At 37.8% G+C, this 18,507-nt stretch overlaps 1 protein-coding gene across 15 annotated transcripts in view; it reads left to right on the forward strand.

Moving 5' to 3' along the window:
* The window catches only part of GRID2 (glutamate ionotropic receptor delta type subunit 2), a 1,506,491-nt gene that overhangs the window by 1,464,071 nt on the left and 23,913 nt on the right, over positions 1–18,507 (forward strand). For 11 of the 15 annotated variants that reach the window (XM_024454024.2, NM_001510.4, XM_011531893.3 and 8 more), the window contains 2 exons: positions 1,174–1,414; positions 4,040–6,530. In XM_024454024.2, coding sequence (XP_024309792.1) covers positions 1,174–1,414; positions 4,040–4,462 — 664 coding nt within the window. In that variant the 3' untranslated portion in view covers positions 4,463–6,530. Of the gene's footprint in view, positions 1–1,173; positions 1,415–4,039; positions 6,531–18,507 lie in introns of those variants that run through there. The other 4 variants (NM_001440459.1, XM_017008120.3, XM_047450132.1 and 1 more) reach the window with 2 other exon arrangements.

The following is an 18,507-nucleotide window of genomic DNA, read 5'->3' on the forward strand; positions in this document are numbered from 1 at the left end:
TCTTTCCACCTGCAGCTCCAACTTGCACGCTGAAGTGTCTCCTACGCAAGGCTGTATACACCCGAGCTCACTCATCTGAGCTCTGTCCACACTCTACAAACTCCACCCTATAGAGCTATGGTGCACCCGTGGCTGTAAGATCTTCTGCCAGGAGGACAACCCTGGGAATAGGCCTGGCAGGCCCTGGAAGAGCACTAAGCTGTTTGGCCAGGAAATTCCAGGGAACCCAGAGGACGATGCACACTCTGTACAGGCACACAGCCTTGGTCTGATCTTCCTTGCCCTGTGAAAAAGGGCATAGCTGGAGGAGGGCCACATCTAGGCTGGCCTCAGGTAGAGCCTAAGAAGCACTGGGAATTGAGAATAATTCCTCTATGAAAAACACACTTTAAAAAGCTGCAGTGTGCAGCTACCCTCAGACTCTGGGGAGGGGAAAAAGAAGCAGCAGAAGAAAAAGAAGAGGGTTTTTCCTATTTGAATTTAACTACTTCTGAAAGCCTCTGGTCAGGTTTTCTTCTTGTTTTCCAAGGTAAGATTACTTCCCCTTTGGCATTAAAAGGGAAACTAGATCAGTTGTGCGAAAAACCAAAAAAGATGTATTTTATCAACTTGAAACTTATCCCAAGGCTTCCTCTCACACTGTGTTAAATAATAGGTCTTCTTAATTGAATTTCTTTGTGTGTAGCATATGCTGGGTGACATTACGCCAGCATCTTGCTCTAAGCAGCAAAACGTTCTTCATAAAAGCATTAAGATCCTGAGTATCATTCTGGATGTAGGAAAGGGACACAGAACTACAACAACTTGAAAGCATATAAAAACAGTGCCTCTGAATTGTGATTGTAAAAACACACTGAAGCAAACCAGGAGGAAAATATTTAGAATTATAGAATGAAACCAGAAGAAGAAGAATAGGAAGAAAAGGAGAGAGGAAGATGGGAGGGTGGGATGGGTGAAGAGAGAGAGGAAAGCAGTGTGGTGCAATGCTGTCTGTAGAATCAAAGCAATGATGACTTTCTGTTTCCTAGCATTCCATCTAAAACAAGCAGATCTATATATTCATTTCCCTTTGACAGCCACCATCCTACAGAGGTGGGATTATAAATGGATGTGTTGTGAACCAGGGCGATAACTATGTCTGTAATAACACATGCTTATGTTCTTTATCCCAAGGATCCTGGAGCTTCAGCAGAATGGTGACATGGACATCCTGAAGCACAAATGGTGGCCTAAGAATGGCCAGTGTGACCTGTACTCGTCAGTGGACACAAAGCAGAAAGGAGGCGCCCTGGACATAAAGAGCTTTGCAGGGGTCTTTTGTATCCTGGCTGCTGGAATTGTCCTCTCCTGCTTCATAGCCATGCTGGAGACGTGGTGGAACAAGAGGAAAGGCTCCCGGGTTCCATCAAAAGAGGTACTTGATTGAGAGATTTGGCTCTAAATTGAATCAACAAGCAGGCTGTATTTCCAGGGAGGACCATCCCAGGGAGGATAATGGGTTGGGGGTGGTCCTTGTTTTTTCGTTTCTTGAAGATTAAAAATAAAGTTGTGAAATATAAAAATTGGTAAGATCAATATCAATTTCCATTTTAGGATATCCCCAGATCAGTGAAGAGGAGACTATAGTGTTTGAAAGACTTAGAAATTCATATACCATAATGGGCTTTGAAATTCTCTCAAATCTCAGAATAGATTTTAATTCAGTGATTTTTAAAGGCCATGATTCCTTTGACCAGTTCACAGAGATACTTACCATTTTGTTTCACTTAGTTGTTTAACTTGTAAGTAAATTCCTCGTATCTCTAAGACTAGCCCCCCAAAAATACAATACTGTAATAAAAATGATCAGAATTTTCTCTTCACCACTAGTGACTGCCTCCTTCTCTACTCATGTAGACCTATAGAAGCTCTTCGATGGCCCCAAGCTTATCAAATCCAAAATCCACATCATGAAAACATCCAAATTTCAATGTTTCTCCTTTACTGTGGAGTCAGCTTCACTTCAGGGCCATATTAAATTTTATCTCAATATCTGAAAGAATAATTACAGAATTACACATATCTCTTTTATAGTGGCCTGAGCATTGTTTTCATCAAGAAGTATGAGACTTATAAATTAAAGAAAATCTGAAGCTAAATCTTGATTAATTTATCTTATTTCCATTGGACTAAAGGGGTGAAAATGTTTTAACTGATGAAGTCATATTCACTAAAGCTTCACAAATTGAAACAAAAACCAATCTGAATTTGCTAAACAATTTTATGTGATGGATAGCTTCAAAGAAACTTTTAAAGTTTCTATAACTAGAACTTGGCTGACTAACTGATGCCTGAGGCAACTCCTGAAAGGATCTACTTTAATGCACAATAAATACGGCTTCTCATTTGCATATGAATTGTTGCACATTAATGTGTTTTTTTCAAACAGGGTGATTTCAAAAGTAGTGTAAGGATTCCTTCTTATCACCTTATATGCAAAATTGATCAGCAGCATTTATAAGGAAAAGCTTGGCTTTAGCAAAGATGAATTTTAGCTTCCTACCTGTGTGAATGAGCATACATTCTAAATATGTGAAGAATGAATTATAAATTAATCAAGTCACATTGTAGTGTTTTCTTTGTGGAATAAGCTTCTGGTATCTCCGTTGACATTGATTCAATGCAAAAGACCACATTAATGCAACATTATAGCTGAGACTCATATTTTTAAAAATCTGGAAAGTAAGGACTCCCCAAGCTCCTTATATTTTGAATTACTCTATATGATATTAAAATTTTGCATTATTATATCTGTTGATGGATGACTACATTACAGTTGCTGTGGGAACCATAAAATTATATGTCTCAATCCTCTAAAGTCTCAGTGATAATATTGCATTAATGGATATTTTTTATTGAATTTTGAAATAAGAAGGGAGAAGGAAAAACAGTGATGCACATCAAAATATTTTTCACTGAGGAACACTATAATAGCACAATGAAAAAAATACATGCTCCATTCTAACTTGTGACAGCTAATCCAGATCCTATGAAAAAATATTTTCTCCTCTTATGATTAATAGATATCTTAAATTCTCATAAATTTAATTTATTGAGTTTGGCTGTAAATAAGACTAATAACAAGGATAATTTTATTTCCTTCCAGTTTTATTTCTCAAATATTGGGCGTTAATACTCACTTTTAGTGAAAAATATAAGGAACTTATCAATGGGTTTCAATTCCAAAAATCTGAGATTTTACTTATATTTTTGTTTATTAACTGCCTTCTTACCAAGACGCCATTAGCATAGCTTAAAACGTCTTTGGTTTTGAGGTCAGTTAGCATAAAGCTGGCCCTAAACTAAAGCTATCACTCACGTGCCCTGACTTGAAGGGGTCCCTAAATATCTCACTGACCTCACAGTATTGACTGATTCAGGTGCTAGATACCTTGAGTGCATAAATCCCTCAATTAGAAATTATTTTGTGTTGAGTATTGCTCTCTCTAAACAATCGCACATATCCTTGGCTTACAAGGAATAACACTTTAACAGTCACTAACACTTCAGTATGAAATAGCTTACTATATCATTTTTTTCAAGAATGGAAACTTAAGTTTAGGAGTAAGTGGTTGAAAGGAACAAAAATTTAACTTGGAATGAGACGCCCTGAAAAGGGAGGAAGCATGTATAAAGAAGAGGTGGGGGGTAGAGTTGCCAAAACCATACTTTCTATTGTTACAATTTTGCCTGGGTCTGTCTTTTATAGAATGGCAATCACCCATCAACTGCTTACATATCTTTGTAGTTGCATGTGGCATATGATCACTTTAAAACCTTTACTGCAAGAAAAATATTTATTGTAGATAATCTTATCTCAGAATTGGAATCCCCCAGAACTTAGCACAGTGCCTGGCTCATACTAGGTGCTCAATAAATATTTGTTAAATGAATAAACCCCAAAGTTCAGTTAATTACATGTTTGCTGAACTACTTTTTTTTTTTTAACCATCAAAGCTAGTACTGATGAGAACCTTATTTTCTTTTTCTTCATCTCCAGGATGACAAGGAAATTGACCTGGAGCACCTCCATAGACGTGTAAATAGCTTGTGCACAGATGACGACAGCCCCCATAAACAGTTTTCCACCTCGTCAATTGATTTGACCCCTCTGGACATTGACACTTTGCCAACACGACAAGCACTGGAGCAAATCAGTGATTTCAGGAACACTCATATTACCACAACAACCTTTATCCCAGAGCAGATCCAGACTCTTAGCCGCACACTGTCAGCTAAAGCTGCTTCTGGTTTCACTTTTGGCAACGTGCCTGAGCACCGAACTGGCCCTTTTAGGCACAGGGCACCTAATGGGGGCTTTTTCAGGAGTCCTATAAAAACAATGTCATCTATTCCTTATCAACCAACTCCTACCCTGGGGCTCAATCTGGGTAATGATCCAGACCGAGGCACCTCCATATGAGCATCAAACAAATCTCTTCACTGTTTCTTTTTTAGGACTCCCTTTGCAAGGAGCAACTGTAATATTGTGGGACTAACATGGATGTAACGTTTAAAAAAAAGATCAGGATTATTAGTAACAATTCTAGTTTTTTCCTCCCACCTTCTCCCTCTCCTCTCTCCTCTATGATTTTCTCTCTTTCCCCCTCCCTTCCTGTACATTTTCCTCCACTTTTTTTCATTACTCAACTTGTTCCCCAAGAAGGTAGTGTACTAGGATCCTATTAGTCTGCTTTTCATATACTGTACATCAAGTATAGGAAATGTGCACTGAGTATACTAAAAGTATATGCAGGATTAATTTTACATAAAGGCCTCTTCTGTAACATTTCTCTATTTTTTGAAATACAATTGCAATAACTTCAGTCTTTTTACATTCTTCTGCTGCATCCATACAATGCTCCACTGCTGTTGAGTGTCCTTTAACTGTGGACCAAAGGCAACCCCTGCAGTGTTTATAAAACAATTTTAAGACCATTCAGGCCACATAAGATGAGAATGCAATTTTGTAGGATTACAAAAAAGCCATTAATATGCCAGTCAAGACTACAGTTAAAACTACTCTTGCACTGCAACAGTGCATATGACCTTTATGTGATTGTACAGTATTAAAAGTTTTTTCTTATGTACAGTAAACTTTATCATATGGCAGAAGCCTCTATTGTGTTAAATAAATTAGTATTTCATATATATACATATATATGCACCTATATAATGTGTATATATATAAAAAGGCAGCCATTGCTATTGCAATTCATTTAATAAAGCTTTAGTTTAAACAAAAGTATTGTATACAGGAACTATGTATAGTGCAGGGGTTCTTTTCAGTTAGAAAAGGCAGGTTGCTTTAATGTTATTCTGACTCGCATTGTTTGCCAACAGAAAATATTTTATACTTTTGTTATTAAAGCATCCAGGGCAATTTAATATTTGTTCCTAGATGTAACTCATTTGAATAGGTTTTGCATTTGTTATTCAGCAGTGTATAAAGCTAACCTTGATAATTTTACTTTTAATTAATTATCTAAATGAAAAATGCTATTAGCTGAACCACATCCACAACAGCACATAGAGCTCTAGAAGAGTTGAAACATAGATCATTGAAGGTTAAAAATCCTCTTCCAAAGCAGCAAGTCAATCAATACAATAATGATATTTGGGGAGGGGTGGGAGCCCTTAAGAACTATTGATGTGGCCTTAAATTACTGTCATTTATTATCCTAAAGAAGAAAACATAATAACCATAATGGGCTCTCAACTCAACTCCCTTTTTTATTTAGTTCTATTTGGAGGAGTTATGTATTTTTTACATTAGTGCCAAGTATATAGAAGGATGACAGCAAAAACAGTGCCTCTTTGTGCACAATCCTTTTAAAGTAGCATTCTTACTTGTTAGAAATGTAGAATGAACTTTGTTTGTAATCCTTAAATTAAAATGTGGTAAGTAGGAAGCAAGAACTTATTCTGTGTTTTTACGCAGCCATACACTTACTTTAATCTAACTCATTCTGTGGCTAGGATTGATATAGGAATCAACCTATGTGATTTGCTTTAGGAGAAATTAAAAGGTATATTCTTAAGATATATTATATTTTGATGCTAATTCTGTTCTGGGGAGCATCTTGTATTGTCACTGTTTTGTACTAAATCTTCAAATATTGTCTACTGTGTAAGGCAGAAAAATTTCTTATCATGCAAAAACCATTTTGTTTCCAGGGTAACAAGTAACTAAGTGCATGCACAACTTGTTTTCCCTTGTAACATTCATGATCTCATTTACAACTCTGATTTTAAAACAAAAAAATCTTTACAACAAGCTATATAGGGACATACCAGATGTTGCAGTGATTTTAGCTATCAACAAACTGTTAACCATGTACAATATTTAAAATAGGCTTATTTTGATGTATCGCCTATTATACAAACACACAAAACATTTTTGGAGGCCTCAGTTATGAGTGACAGAGCTTTCTGTGTATAATTTGTCTAAATAATTTGTCTAATAAAAATGTTTTCTAAACTTGCTCTCATACTATTGAAGTCTTAACTGTAAGATTTGAAAATGTTTACTCTCTCACAGATTGAACTAAATTTTTCTAAAAATTTATCTTGAGTTAATTAAAGCATAAATCACATTAAGTTTTACTGGCAGAACTATGCCAAAATGAATGGCTCTCTAAAACATTACTAAGTGATGTCTTAAACCAATGAGAGACTGCCTTTCTGCTATTTGAGACTATTTGAACCAACAATACATTTGTTTTTCTCTGTGGATGTCTCTGTGAGCACTTTTTTGGGAAAGATTTATCCTGTTTCATGTAAGCAATGCAACCATTATGATAATATCAGGATGAGGGTGTGTTACATCAAAAAAAATAAGAAAGACAAGAAAATTAAGGGTAATTATTAAACTTAGGATTTATTTCTTAAAAATTGCTTTGCTAGAGAATTATTCGTCATGCTGAATCTATTAATTTGGGAATTAATTTAGGTTCTAAGATTATTTCTAATAGTTTTCCTGCATTTGAACAATAATTTTAATTCTTCCAGCGTTTAACACACCTAAGGGATATATATCTGAAAATGTATTTTGAAAACATAATTTACTAAAAAAAAAAAAAAAATAGTTCTCTATTGTTCTAAAGTTCCATCCAAAATAATTCTTTGAATATTGGAACTAAGAGGAAATTTAGAGATCTAGACTGTTGACCTCATTTTACAAATCAGGGAAAATAAGATGCTAAGATGCTGTGATATGCCCAAATGTTTGACAACCTAAAATGTAAACTGGGTCTTCTTTTTTAAAACTCTGCCACCCTTCAATCACACCAACATAGGTCCTCATGGATTGTAAATATAGGCTCCACCTTCTCCTCTCACCAAGCCTAGGCTACAAATCTCTAGGATCCTTCCTTCCTTGTTTGGGACACATAGATCATCTGATTCCACTTTTACACATGGGAAAGTGAGTACCTCAGGTTATTTACCCAGGGCCATAGCTAGCAGCAAAACTAAGGTCGGTTCCTGTTTCTGTCTACACTTGGTTTTTTGGCCCATTGTTTGTCCTGGTTTGCAACACTTAGACCAACCTGGCTATTTCACTACAAGACAAAATACCTTATATCCAAGTACTTTTATTCTATTCAAATGTCCAATTTACCCCACTGGTGAATCATTAAGATATCTGGTATCACTGTACCACATCAGAACTTATGCACAGGCTTTGGTTTAATCATACATACTTAAAGTTGTAAGACTGCCTTCTTCCTCATACCATTAAACTACAGGCAATTTGTCATGTTCGTGATCATGTTATTTTTCATCTCTTTTAGTTTGGGATTGGCTATCAACTGAATAAATACTTTTAAAAATAGACTTTACCGAATGGTACTTTGCTTCATCAATTTAAATAAAAGATGGGAAGATCCATTTACCCTGCATGATACTTCTAAGACACACAATTGAATAACAAGTTATTACTATTTTATAATCAGAATTTTCCAATGGTGAAACACATTCTAGATTATAAGTATAGTAAATCATGCAGAGAAGAGATTATGTGCTGGTAAACATAGGTTTTATCCTTAAATATAAATGTGATGATGACTGATAAAGTACAATGGACTCACTAAAATTTGGCTTCCTTCCAGAGTACTTTTCTTTCAAAAAACAAATCTTATAGCCAACCCTCATGACCAAATATTAATAAATGATTAACAACTATGGCCATAATTATCATTTCAATGAAATTTGGTAGACACTCTGTCAACAAATATTTTAGAAGACACCCTCTTATGAGGCAGCATATGTGAGCTTCCCTAGGTAGAAATTACTTATCTGACACTGAAAAGTCAGAGAATAAAGCTATAATTTATAGAAGATTTGATAGATGTAATTCAATTCTACTAGTGTTAACAGAGAACCTATTATTTTGAAAGCCATTGTGCTAAACAGCTGGGCATGGCAGAAATGAATGTTTAGGAATGGGTCTGGGTGTGTTCCAACACTCATCTCTTTCCTGGCTCCATATCAACATGCAGGATACGGAGGCCACGTTACAGAATGAGTCACCCCAAACCAGCACAGTCTTCTTGGTTGGGTGACTGACTGGACCAATTCATCTTAGTAGTTCTCAAGCACCAATTGAAACTGTCTTCTTGGTTCAGACCACCTCCCCAAAGAAGACTTGGAAATTTACCAACATGCCAGATCCTGAAGCCAAATTTTCAAAAATGTGAAAATTCCTATAAGCCACAGAAAATTACTATCTAACCCTTCATCCTTATTGATACTTGCATACCATTCAGAGACTGACTCCTACCCTTAGGTGTCCTCATCGGCATAATGTAGACCATAACAACTCCTTTTCTATCCCTGCAAATCTAATGAGTCATGATAATTCAAGCTCTGCAATGTTTCAACTTGCCTCAACAGGACAAAACATAGTAAATCTTATTCAGGATCTTTTTCATACTGCAACTAAAACTCCGTGCTACCTTTCCTGTCATCTAAGACACAGGATGCAGTGTGGCCCATAAACCCAATGAATGTAAAGTATCCTTCAGGCTGCCCACCATGATGATAGCCTCCAACCCACACATACCTCCAGGAGACTAGAAACCTCATGGTTTTGCTTCATTTTATAGAGCTGCACAGAGGCATGGAACAGTTAAAGCACATAATGATTCAGCCTACCACTGGGATAGAAACAGATCAAGGAACTTGCTCTCATTTCTTCACCTGAATTTTTCAAATTCCTATGTCGTCAATAGTATTCATTTGCTTTGTTTCCATGTAACATTGATGACAAAACAAAAATTGTTCACATTTGAGAATTTTTTTCATATCTAAGAGCTCTATCTTGACTTGCTACAATTTAGGACTCAGTGACATCTTTTGCCTAATTTTGTATCATAGTTCCTAGAATTTCTTCAGAATGAAGAAGAGAAACTAGCTGTGTTATTCAAACATATTACCTACCTCATAGTATAGACATAGCTTGTCTAGCCTTCATGAGGAAGGAGGACCTGGTTTTCTTTTGGAGAAACCCAATACATTCCTACCTTGGAGTAAGCAACACATTTCAACAGTCTCAAACTATTCATGATGTGGTTGAAAACTCACAAAATTTTCAGCACATTAATTCTCATTAATTAAAAACTAATTAAGCTTTCCTAACAGCTGCTTTACAAGGAGAAACATATGTCACAAAAACAAAGAATGATACAGTGTCAGAACCAGAGAAGGGATGACAAACATTGCTTTTAATAAATATTTTGCCAGCTACAAGCTTTGAAATATGAGTAGAAGGCAAGCTTTAAATTGTTATATTTTATTATTAAATTGCTGCTACTGAAAAAGTTTAGGAATTAAGTAGCCTACTTAAGTGGCTGTTTTTAATTTTTAAAAATTGGACATCAGTATTATTTTTTAAACACACATAGATACCTATATGCAAAGATAACCCATAACTTCCTGAATTTGAAAAATAAACAAATACAGCTTGCATATTCGCTACACAAAAGATTCATAGTAGGAGACCTTTAAGAATTAGTTCTTCTGATATGTAATAAAATAAGATTCAATTTACAAAAATTCAAGTTATCTAAAGCTTTCAGGATCACAGCTATTTCCTGGAGGCAAGGGTATCAGTATCTATTTCATACTATGTAAAAAAGTATCTGATAGTTAATATTTAATTCCTTTCCAAAATTAGGTTGACTTTAAAATTAAATGCTAACCCTCTATTAATATCTGTTTACAAAAGTTATCTATAAGATTTATTGCTAGAAATAAAAGCACACTAAAATTAAGCTGAAAAATAGAAGTTCCATATGTTCAGCTTATCTCATTTGGCTTTTTTTTTTTTTTTTTTTTTGAGACAGAGTCTCGCTCTGTCACCCAGGCTGGAATGCAGTGGCACGATCTCGGCTCCCTGGAACCTTTGCCTCCTAGGCTCAGGCAATTCTCGTGCCTCAGCCTCCCAAGTAGCTAGGACTACAGGCATGTGCCACCACGCTCAGCTAATTTTTGGTATTTTTAATAGAGACAGGGTTTCACCATGTTGGGCAGGCTGGTCTTGAACCCCGGACCTCACATGATCTGCCCCTCTCAGTCTCCCAAAGTGCTGAGATTACAGGCGTGAGCCACCACGCCCAGTCTTATATCATTTGACTTTTTAGTGCTAGAAAGAGTAACTGAATAATTAACATGCTCAAGTACTTCTCTAGACACTGTTTTTTAAAAAAGCTTTGAACATACCTGATTGACATAGTTGACATGATGTATGTGATACAAAACTCTATTCACACATGATGTTTTTTTAATGAGTACAATTCTTTCCAAATCAACATATTAGGAGTTAAAATTAAAAATATGCAGTGCAGCAATATATACACATAATTGGGACTCTCAGATTGTAATTCTGCATGACTAAACATTTTTAAACTTATTTCTCACTCAGATTTCTCCATGGAAAGATCATAGTAAAAATGACCATAAACTGATTACCATATGTATGAAAACCCCTCTCACATGTACAGCCTCCAAAGTTTTTGATGTGTCCAATGGCTCAATCACCAATCATGAATATTTTTAATTAGGTCTCTCTCAGCATCACTAAATGAAGTTTTAGATTCCTACTTCATAATAATCATTTTGTGTCTCTTTCCCTTTTTTTTTTTTTAATGAGTTTAGTACCTATACAGGAACTTTAGCAAGGCTTCAGGGAGAATATTGGGAAAAATACAATCACATAAGATCAATCAGTCCACCAACAAATACTTTCTGAGCACCTACTATTAGCACGGTACCCTAGGGCAGAGTTCTCCTAACTGATGTACCAAGGCAAGTGCCTGGGCCAGCTGTGCTTCTGGTGTACTGAAGCTTTGATCCTCTCATTTCCTCATGGTGGCCGGGGAGAGGGGATGACTAGGCTGAAATTCTTCCTGTGAGCAGCTCTGCCACCCAGCTTCTCCTGAGAAAGCTTCCAAAGTTGGAGAAACAAAATATAAACATTTGAAAAGTGAAGTAAAAACTCATCATATAAATAACATCAGAAGACATGAATATAAATTACACCATGTTGCAGAGTATGTTTGTCAAATTAGTGGTATAGAAAAAATACTCTATGAAAAGAGGAAAAGAATAACATAGGCTGCATGGAACAAGTGGAAAATTAGCCTAAGCACCAAGAATGTGGAAAGGTCAGAAGGATGCTTTTGTACCAGAGGTTACAGTGCAACCATAGGACAAGCGTTGGGAAGAATGTTCAGAGGCACAGTAGACCACGATGTCTGGAATATGGGCTTTGTGTCAGAGAGCAGCAAAAGGCAAAGTGTGAGTGAGATTGCGGGATGCCTGGAGGCTGAGCTGAAGAGAGAACACTACATCCTGTTTATTCACGTATTCAACATATGTTTACCCAGGCCCTGCTGTGTGCAAGACACTATTCTGTGTGTTGGGGATACACCAGTAAGCAAGACAGAAATTCATGCCTTCATGGAGTTCACAGTTAACTGAGGGAGACAGATAATAAGCCAGAAAGTAAGTGAAGGATTAGTCTATTGGGAGGTGGTAAGTGCTGTGGAGGAAAACAAAGCAAAAGAAGAACAAGGAGCAAGAAGGCCAGAGCAGAAGTGGGGATCTGCTATATTAAGTAAGGTGGTCAAAGGACGCCTGACTGATTAGCTGGCATTTGAATGAAGCTTTAAATGGACTGAGGGAGTTAGCCATGTTGCTGTCTGGGGAAAACGCATTCCAGTCTTTGGGAACAGCCAATACAAAGGCTCTGAGGTGAGAATGTCCTGGGCATGTCTAAAGAATAGCGAGACGATCAATTCAGCTGGATTGGAATGAGTGATAGGAGAAGGGCGCTAAGAGGTAACAAATGGCTCACATTACAAGGCTTTGTAGGACACTGAAGATTTGGGATTTTATTCTGCATGGGTTGGGAAACCACTGGAGTGTTTTGAACAAAGTAGAATGACATTTACTAGTTCCAGCAGGTTGATCACAAAGTCAGATATAAAACAGTCTTGGAATCATAACTGCCGACACCTTCCCACCCTCCTTTGGTCCTAAATATTTGCTACCATTTTAAGTAGAGTGCAATAGGAAAGTGGTATGGAAGTGCCAGCTGCTGGTCCTTGAACCATCAGAGAGGTACTGAAGCTGGGCTGGCGCTCACAGAGGCTCACAACCATGGAAAGTGTGAAAACCTCCGTCAGTGGCAGTGGGGAAACCACTGAAGATTTTTAACCAAGGGAGAAACAGGCTCTTAAAGGGGCAGTTTAGAAAAAGTAAACTGGTAGCAATTCATCAAATGAAATGAAGAAGAAAAAGAGGCCAATTAAAAGGGCTGGACAATAATTTCGGTATGTGCTGAACTTCTGAAGTAATCTAGAAAAGAAAGAAGATACAGAGCGTAGATAGGTATTGAAGGAAGAATCAAGAGAACTTGAAGGTTAACTGAATATAGAGTGTAAAAGAGAAAACAAGTCAAAGATGATCGATTTCTCAAATTCAGATGCCAGAAAGATGGATATAATTTTCCCAAAAAGTGGCAAAGTCAGAATATCTAGTTTGTTAATTTTACTTTTTCCTTGAATTAGAGGGCTTGGGGGAAGAAAGGATAGAATTGAGAATCATTTGTTTTCTTTCATTGGGAGCATGAATGATGAATTTTTAACAAGTGATGGGGAACTGAGGGATCATCTAGAGTCCATAATTTTTAAACTGTGCTCCCCAGATTCCCAAGGGTTTTGCTCAAGATTTATGGGGATGCCACTGGGCTGCGGTGAGGCCCACTGGGCTGCGGTGAGGGGCTGCGGTGAGACCTGCTGGGCTGCGGTGAGGGGCTGCGGTGAGGCCTACTGGGCTGCGGTGAGGGGCTGCGGTGAGGGGCTGCGGTGAGGCCCACTGGGCTTCCCTTACAGCACCTTTGCTTTGATTTCTTCATTTGCAGTGGGTCCCTCAGTGTCAGTGGGGGGTTGGTTCCCTCAGTGTCAGTCGGGGGTTGGTTCCAGGACCCCCCTCAGATACCAGAATCCAAGGATGCCCAGACCCTTATATAAAATGGTATAGTGTTTGTCTATAATATATGCATATAACATATGCAAATTCTTCTGTATAATTTAAATCACCTCTATATTATTTCTAACATCTAATACAATGTAAATGCTATGTAAACAGTTGTTATACTGTACAGTTTAGGGAATAATGACAAGAAAAATGTCTGTACATGTTTAGTACAGAGTGTTTTTCTGAATATTTTCAATCTGAGGTTGGTTGAATCCATAGATGTGAAACCCACAGATCCAGAGGTCTGACTGCATTTGACTTCCAGTTAAGATTTCTTTCACCCTCTGGATAATACATTACTGACAAATGAACAAAATCTCAAGTCAAATGTTTTCTGAGGCCTATCATAGCATTCAAACTTTGATTGTTAGATTACTCTTCCTTCCATTGACTTTGGATTGTATTAAAAGTAGTTCTCCGCTGGTTCTTCAAAATAGTACAGAAGAACCCTCATCCCTTTATCCCACATAGAATTTATCATGTTTCCCACATGGCGAATACTCAGAATTGACCAAACTGCCCTTCAATGTGGTGACAGTGACTCAAATCGCTATCTTGAAATAGGTCCAGTGTCTCCAAGGTCCTTAAGGACCTTGGCTTCTAGTGATTTAGACTCACTAGAACCAGGCAGCAGACAGACATACCTGAATGGAAATCCAAAATAAATGTTTCTAAACACAGCCTTGTCTTAGAAAACGAACAAACTAAAATTAGCCCAAACATTAAAAATACCTGCTATGTTCAAGCCAATATACTTGACACTACAAATCAAATGAAAGAACCATGGAATGAACTGTGTTTGTTTGCCTGTAATTGTATGCTTTTAGTTCCGAGTCTGCTTCAACGTGAGAGTTCAGAAAGCATCCACTAACACAGTTAAGAGTACTCTAAGAGACTAAGAGGTAGGTCTGAAATACTCATCATCACAAATCCTGTGACACCAATTCCACTAACACTTTAAAAGGTTAGCTTTTACCAAGCAGATGCCATTAGAAAGATGACTTAGATTTTTGTCCAGGATCTTGTCTACTGACTCTAACCAACTTTCAACACTGAGGCCATAATCATGGTCCACTTTTCAGAGGTCAAAGCTGATATCCCAATTCTAAGAAAAAAATATCGTATATCAAATATAAAACAAGAAATAAGCAATACGGGTTTTTATAAATTTAAAATAACTGTTAAAACCTGATTTCCCAATTATTTGAGATTATAATTCTTTGCTATGTACTCTTGCCTCACAGCCTTGCTTTTAAAATATAAACCATGAATCATACACACACACACACACACACACACACACACAAACTAATCTATCTTATAAAAGAGAATCACACACTAATTATGTACACCTGTTGCCCTAAATATCAACACAATGTAAGACTTTCAAAGTAATTTGCAGAGGCACATGTTTCTGGACTGCAATTAATAAAATATATGGCATATATCCTCAATAAGAATTATTTCATATGCAGGGAAGTTTAACCCCTTCTCATCTGAACAAGCAAGTCGCTAATTTCTGCTGCAATGTTTGTCCTCGTGGGAGGGAAGGCATGCTGACCAGGTGCCAGGCTCAGTGCTAGGCACTATGTAGGTGTTTCACCTGAGTCTCGTAATAACCCTGTAAGTTTGCTATTGTTGACACTAATTTAGCAGATTAAAACAAAACAAAAGTAAAACTCTGGAAAGTTAAGTAATTTGGTTGAGTTCACACAATTAGTAAGCGAGAATTCAAACTCACATCTCTCTAACTCAGAAATCCATGTGCTTTCCTCCTCAATGGGCTATTTCAGAATCAAGGCGAGATGGAGGTAAATGGTCCTTCTATATTCCTCACTGATGTAAGAGGCTTTGTACACTATGGGATCCATAAAAATTGACTAGTCCTCAGTAGCTACAAATATTTGTAATACAGAAACTACAAATGGTAAATAAAAACTCACAAAAGATGAATACAGATGAAGCATTGTAGGAGCTTAGAAAACACAAACAGATTCAGAGAAATACTCTGCCGGATTAGCATCTACAGAAGACACTGCTCAAATACCAGCACACCCACTCATGTCCCTCTTGTATTCTTTATTTATGCTAATGGTGGTGTTAGTGACCTTTCCAGTCTTCTCCCCTCTTGCTTAGAGTCCCTCTAATGAAAACCTTAGAAAAACCAACCCTTGGCCGGGCGCGGTGGCTCACGCCTGTAATCCCAGCACTTTGGGAGGCCGAGGTGGGCGGATCACGAGGTCAGGAGATCGAGACCATCCCGGCTAAAACGGTGAAACCCCGTCTCTACTAAAAATACAAAAAATTAGCCAGGCGTAGTGGCGGGCGCCTGTAGTCCCAGCTACTTGGGAGGCTGAGGCAGGAGAATGGCGTGAACCCGGGAGGCGGAGCTTGCAGTGAGCCGAGATCCCGCCACTGCACTCCAGCCTGGGCGACAGAGCGAGACTCCGTCTCAAAAAAAAAAAAAAAAAAAAAAAAAAAACCAACCCTTATTGAGTCCACTCGCATAAAGCTTTAGTACCTGGTCCTCTTTTTCCAGCCCTAATGCTACAAGACAAGTTTAAGCACATGCTAGCCTCTACCTGGAAGCCTTGTAGTAAGTCTCCCAAGCTTCACTCTTTTTAGGCTCACATTCCATCTACGTATCTTACTAGATGATCTTATTAAATTACTTGTCAGGTCATGCTGCTCCATGATTTATTTTTTTTCTGTGGTATTTCTATGGCCCACTAATTAATGACCAAGCGCCTCAGCTGAGATTCCTTCTGGCAGGAAGCACTAAGGCACCCTTCACAGAGAAGCAGCGTTTGAGCCAAGGAGGAAGGATTTTGACAATTGGAAATGTGAATGTAGACTGTAAAAGCAATGCACAAAAAGGAAATAGGAAAGTATCATTGACAAGTAGGAGCCAGAGAATAAGACTTTTGGCTTGAATCAGGAAGTCCTATGGAGACAGACAGAAGATGGAAAAAAAAAATTTGTTGATTTATTCAACAATTGTATTTTATATTTTCAGAGTCCTTTTTATACACACACACACACACACACACACACACACCACGGTATCGCAGAACATACAGACATGCAAGACTCTCAAAGCTATTACAGAAGAGATATCCTGTATATACCTAACTGTGACATAAGGCAAAGTATGATATGTTCCATAAAAGTGATACAATGTATTACAGAAACTGAAAGAAGGGAGAGAAGATGCTCTTCTAGGTATGCTTTTACAGAAATACAGCTATAACTACAGTTTAAAATTATATGTAAGTACTTAAAATAGTCCAGAGTATTTTGAAAATTCAGAGAACAGAAAGATCTCTTCTCACAGGCAATAGAGTATCTTCATAGAGAAGACAGTTTTGGAACTGAGCCTTGAAAGAGAATGTACAATTTTCACAGGTATAGACTAGAGAAAGACTTTTTTTAGGCAAAGAGAAAGATCTCATCCAAGTCACCGTGGAGGGTAACACAAAGCGTATTGAGAAAGATCAGATAGTTTGGCTGGAACACATGGGCCAGGAAAAGCAGGACAGAAGACAACCAAACAATAATATGACATCCAGCCACCTACCTAATGTTTGAGTTTCGTACCTTTTACAATTGATTCTGTTTTTGAACAGCTGTGAATATTGGAAATGTGACGGTGTTTGCAATCTACTGGGGAAGAAAGACAATTTAACAGGCAATGACAATAAATTGGAATAAGTAGTAATGAAAATGCAAGGTGATTTGCCACTCAGACCAGGGCTAGGAAAAGCTCCCTAGAGAATGGGATTCCAAGTTAGAACTGAGGGAGTATTGACCAATAGCCAGGCAAAGGAAATAGAGGTTTTTCAGATCATGTGACCAGTATAGGCAAAGACCTAAAGCCAGAGGGCACGATTTGTTCCAGGGACTGAAAGAAGTCAAGCTGATAAAAGGAAAATATCAAGAAAATTTTTAAGAAGGTATGGAGCAGGCCTTGTAATGCTTCATTAACCGTGATAAAGAATTTAATACAAATTCTTTAAGAAGTAGTGTTCCAGGCATCACTAAGAAGCCATTGAAGACTTTAAAGCGGTGACCTGATCATGTTCCTATTTTAAAGAATCACTCTCACTGCCCCAGGAGAAACTTCGGGAATGGGAAAAGACCTAAGAGAGGCAGACCAGTCAGAAACTCGTGTGGCAATCCACCTAGAGGAAATAGTCCAGTCCAGTAGTAAAGAGGTGGAAAGGAAGGAAAGAGGTGGAAAGATACTAGAGAGAGCTGTAGTGGGAATGGGGTCTGGGTCTGGGCTTGTAATTGACATCATGGAAGGTAATAAAATCATCCAAGGAATATGTGGGTCTATTTAGCGCAAAGTAAGTTCTGGACATCCAACACTGTGGAGGATCAACATTTGATCAAAGGACAAAAGAGTGTGTTAAATGGAAAAAACTTACTAGCTAAAAGAAATCTGGAAAGAAAACTATAACAGTGAATGGTCTCAGATGTGAAGAGAAGAGAGTATTTCAATAGGGAGTGGTCAATATTGTCAAGTGTTACTCAGGGAATAAGCATATCCATGAGAACCAGCAACAGATAGATCCTCAGGCCCCGGGTGAGAACAGTGTTCAGAATGGTGGACTAAAGCCAGACTGCAGCTGTTGGAAGAATAAGTGGAAGGACACATACACTGCTCTCCCAAGGAATATGGTGATGAAGGAGAGGTGAAGGCCAGGAAAGGAGCTCAACCTAGAAGAAATGGGATCCCAGGAGGGTGTTTGTTTGTTTCCAACGTAGGAGACACTTGAGCACATTTAAATGCAAATATGAAGGAGCCAGTAGAGGGCAAAGCTTGAGAATACAGTAACAAGCAGGGTTTTGAAAAGGTAAAAAGGAATGAGATCCAGGGTACAATTCCTCTGCAGTAAGAGAAGAGAGACATTTTTTTTGTAA

This window comes from Homo sapiens, chromosome 4 (assembly GCF_000001405.40).
Source record: "Homo sapiens chromosome 4, GRCh38.p14 Primary Assembly".
Lineage (NCBI taxonomy): Eukaryota > Metazoa > Chordata > Mammalia > Primates > Hominidae > Homo > Homo sapiens.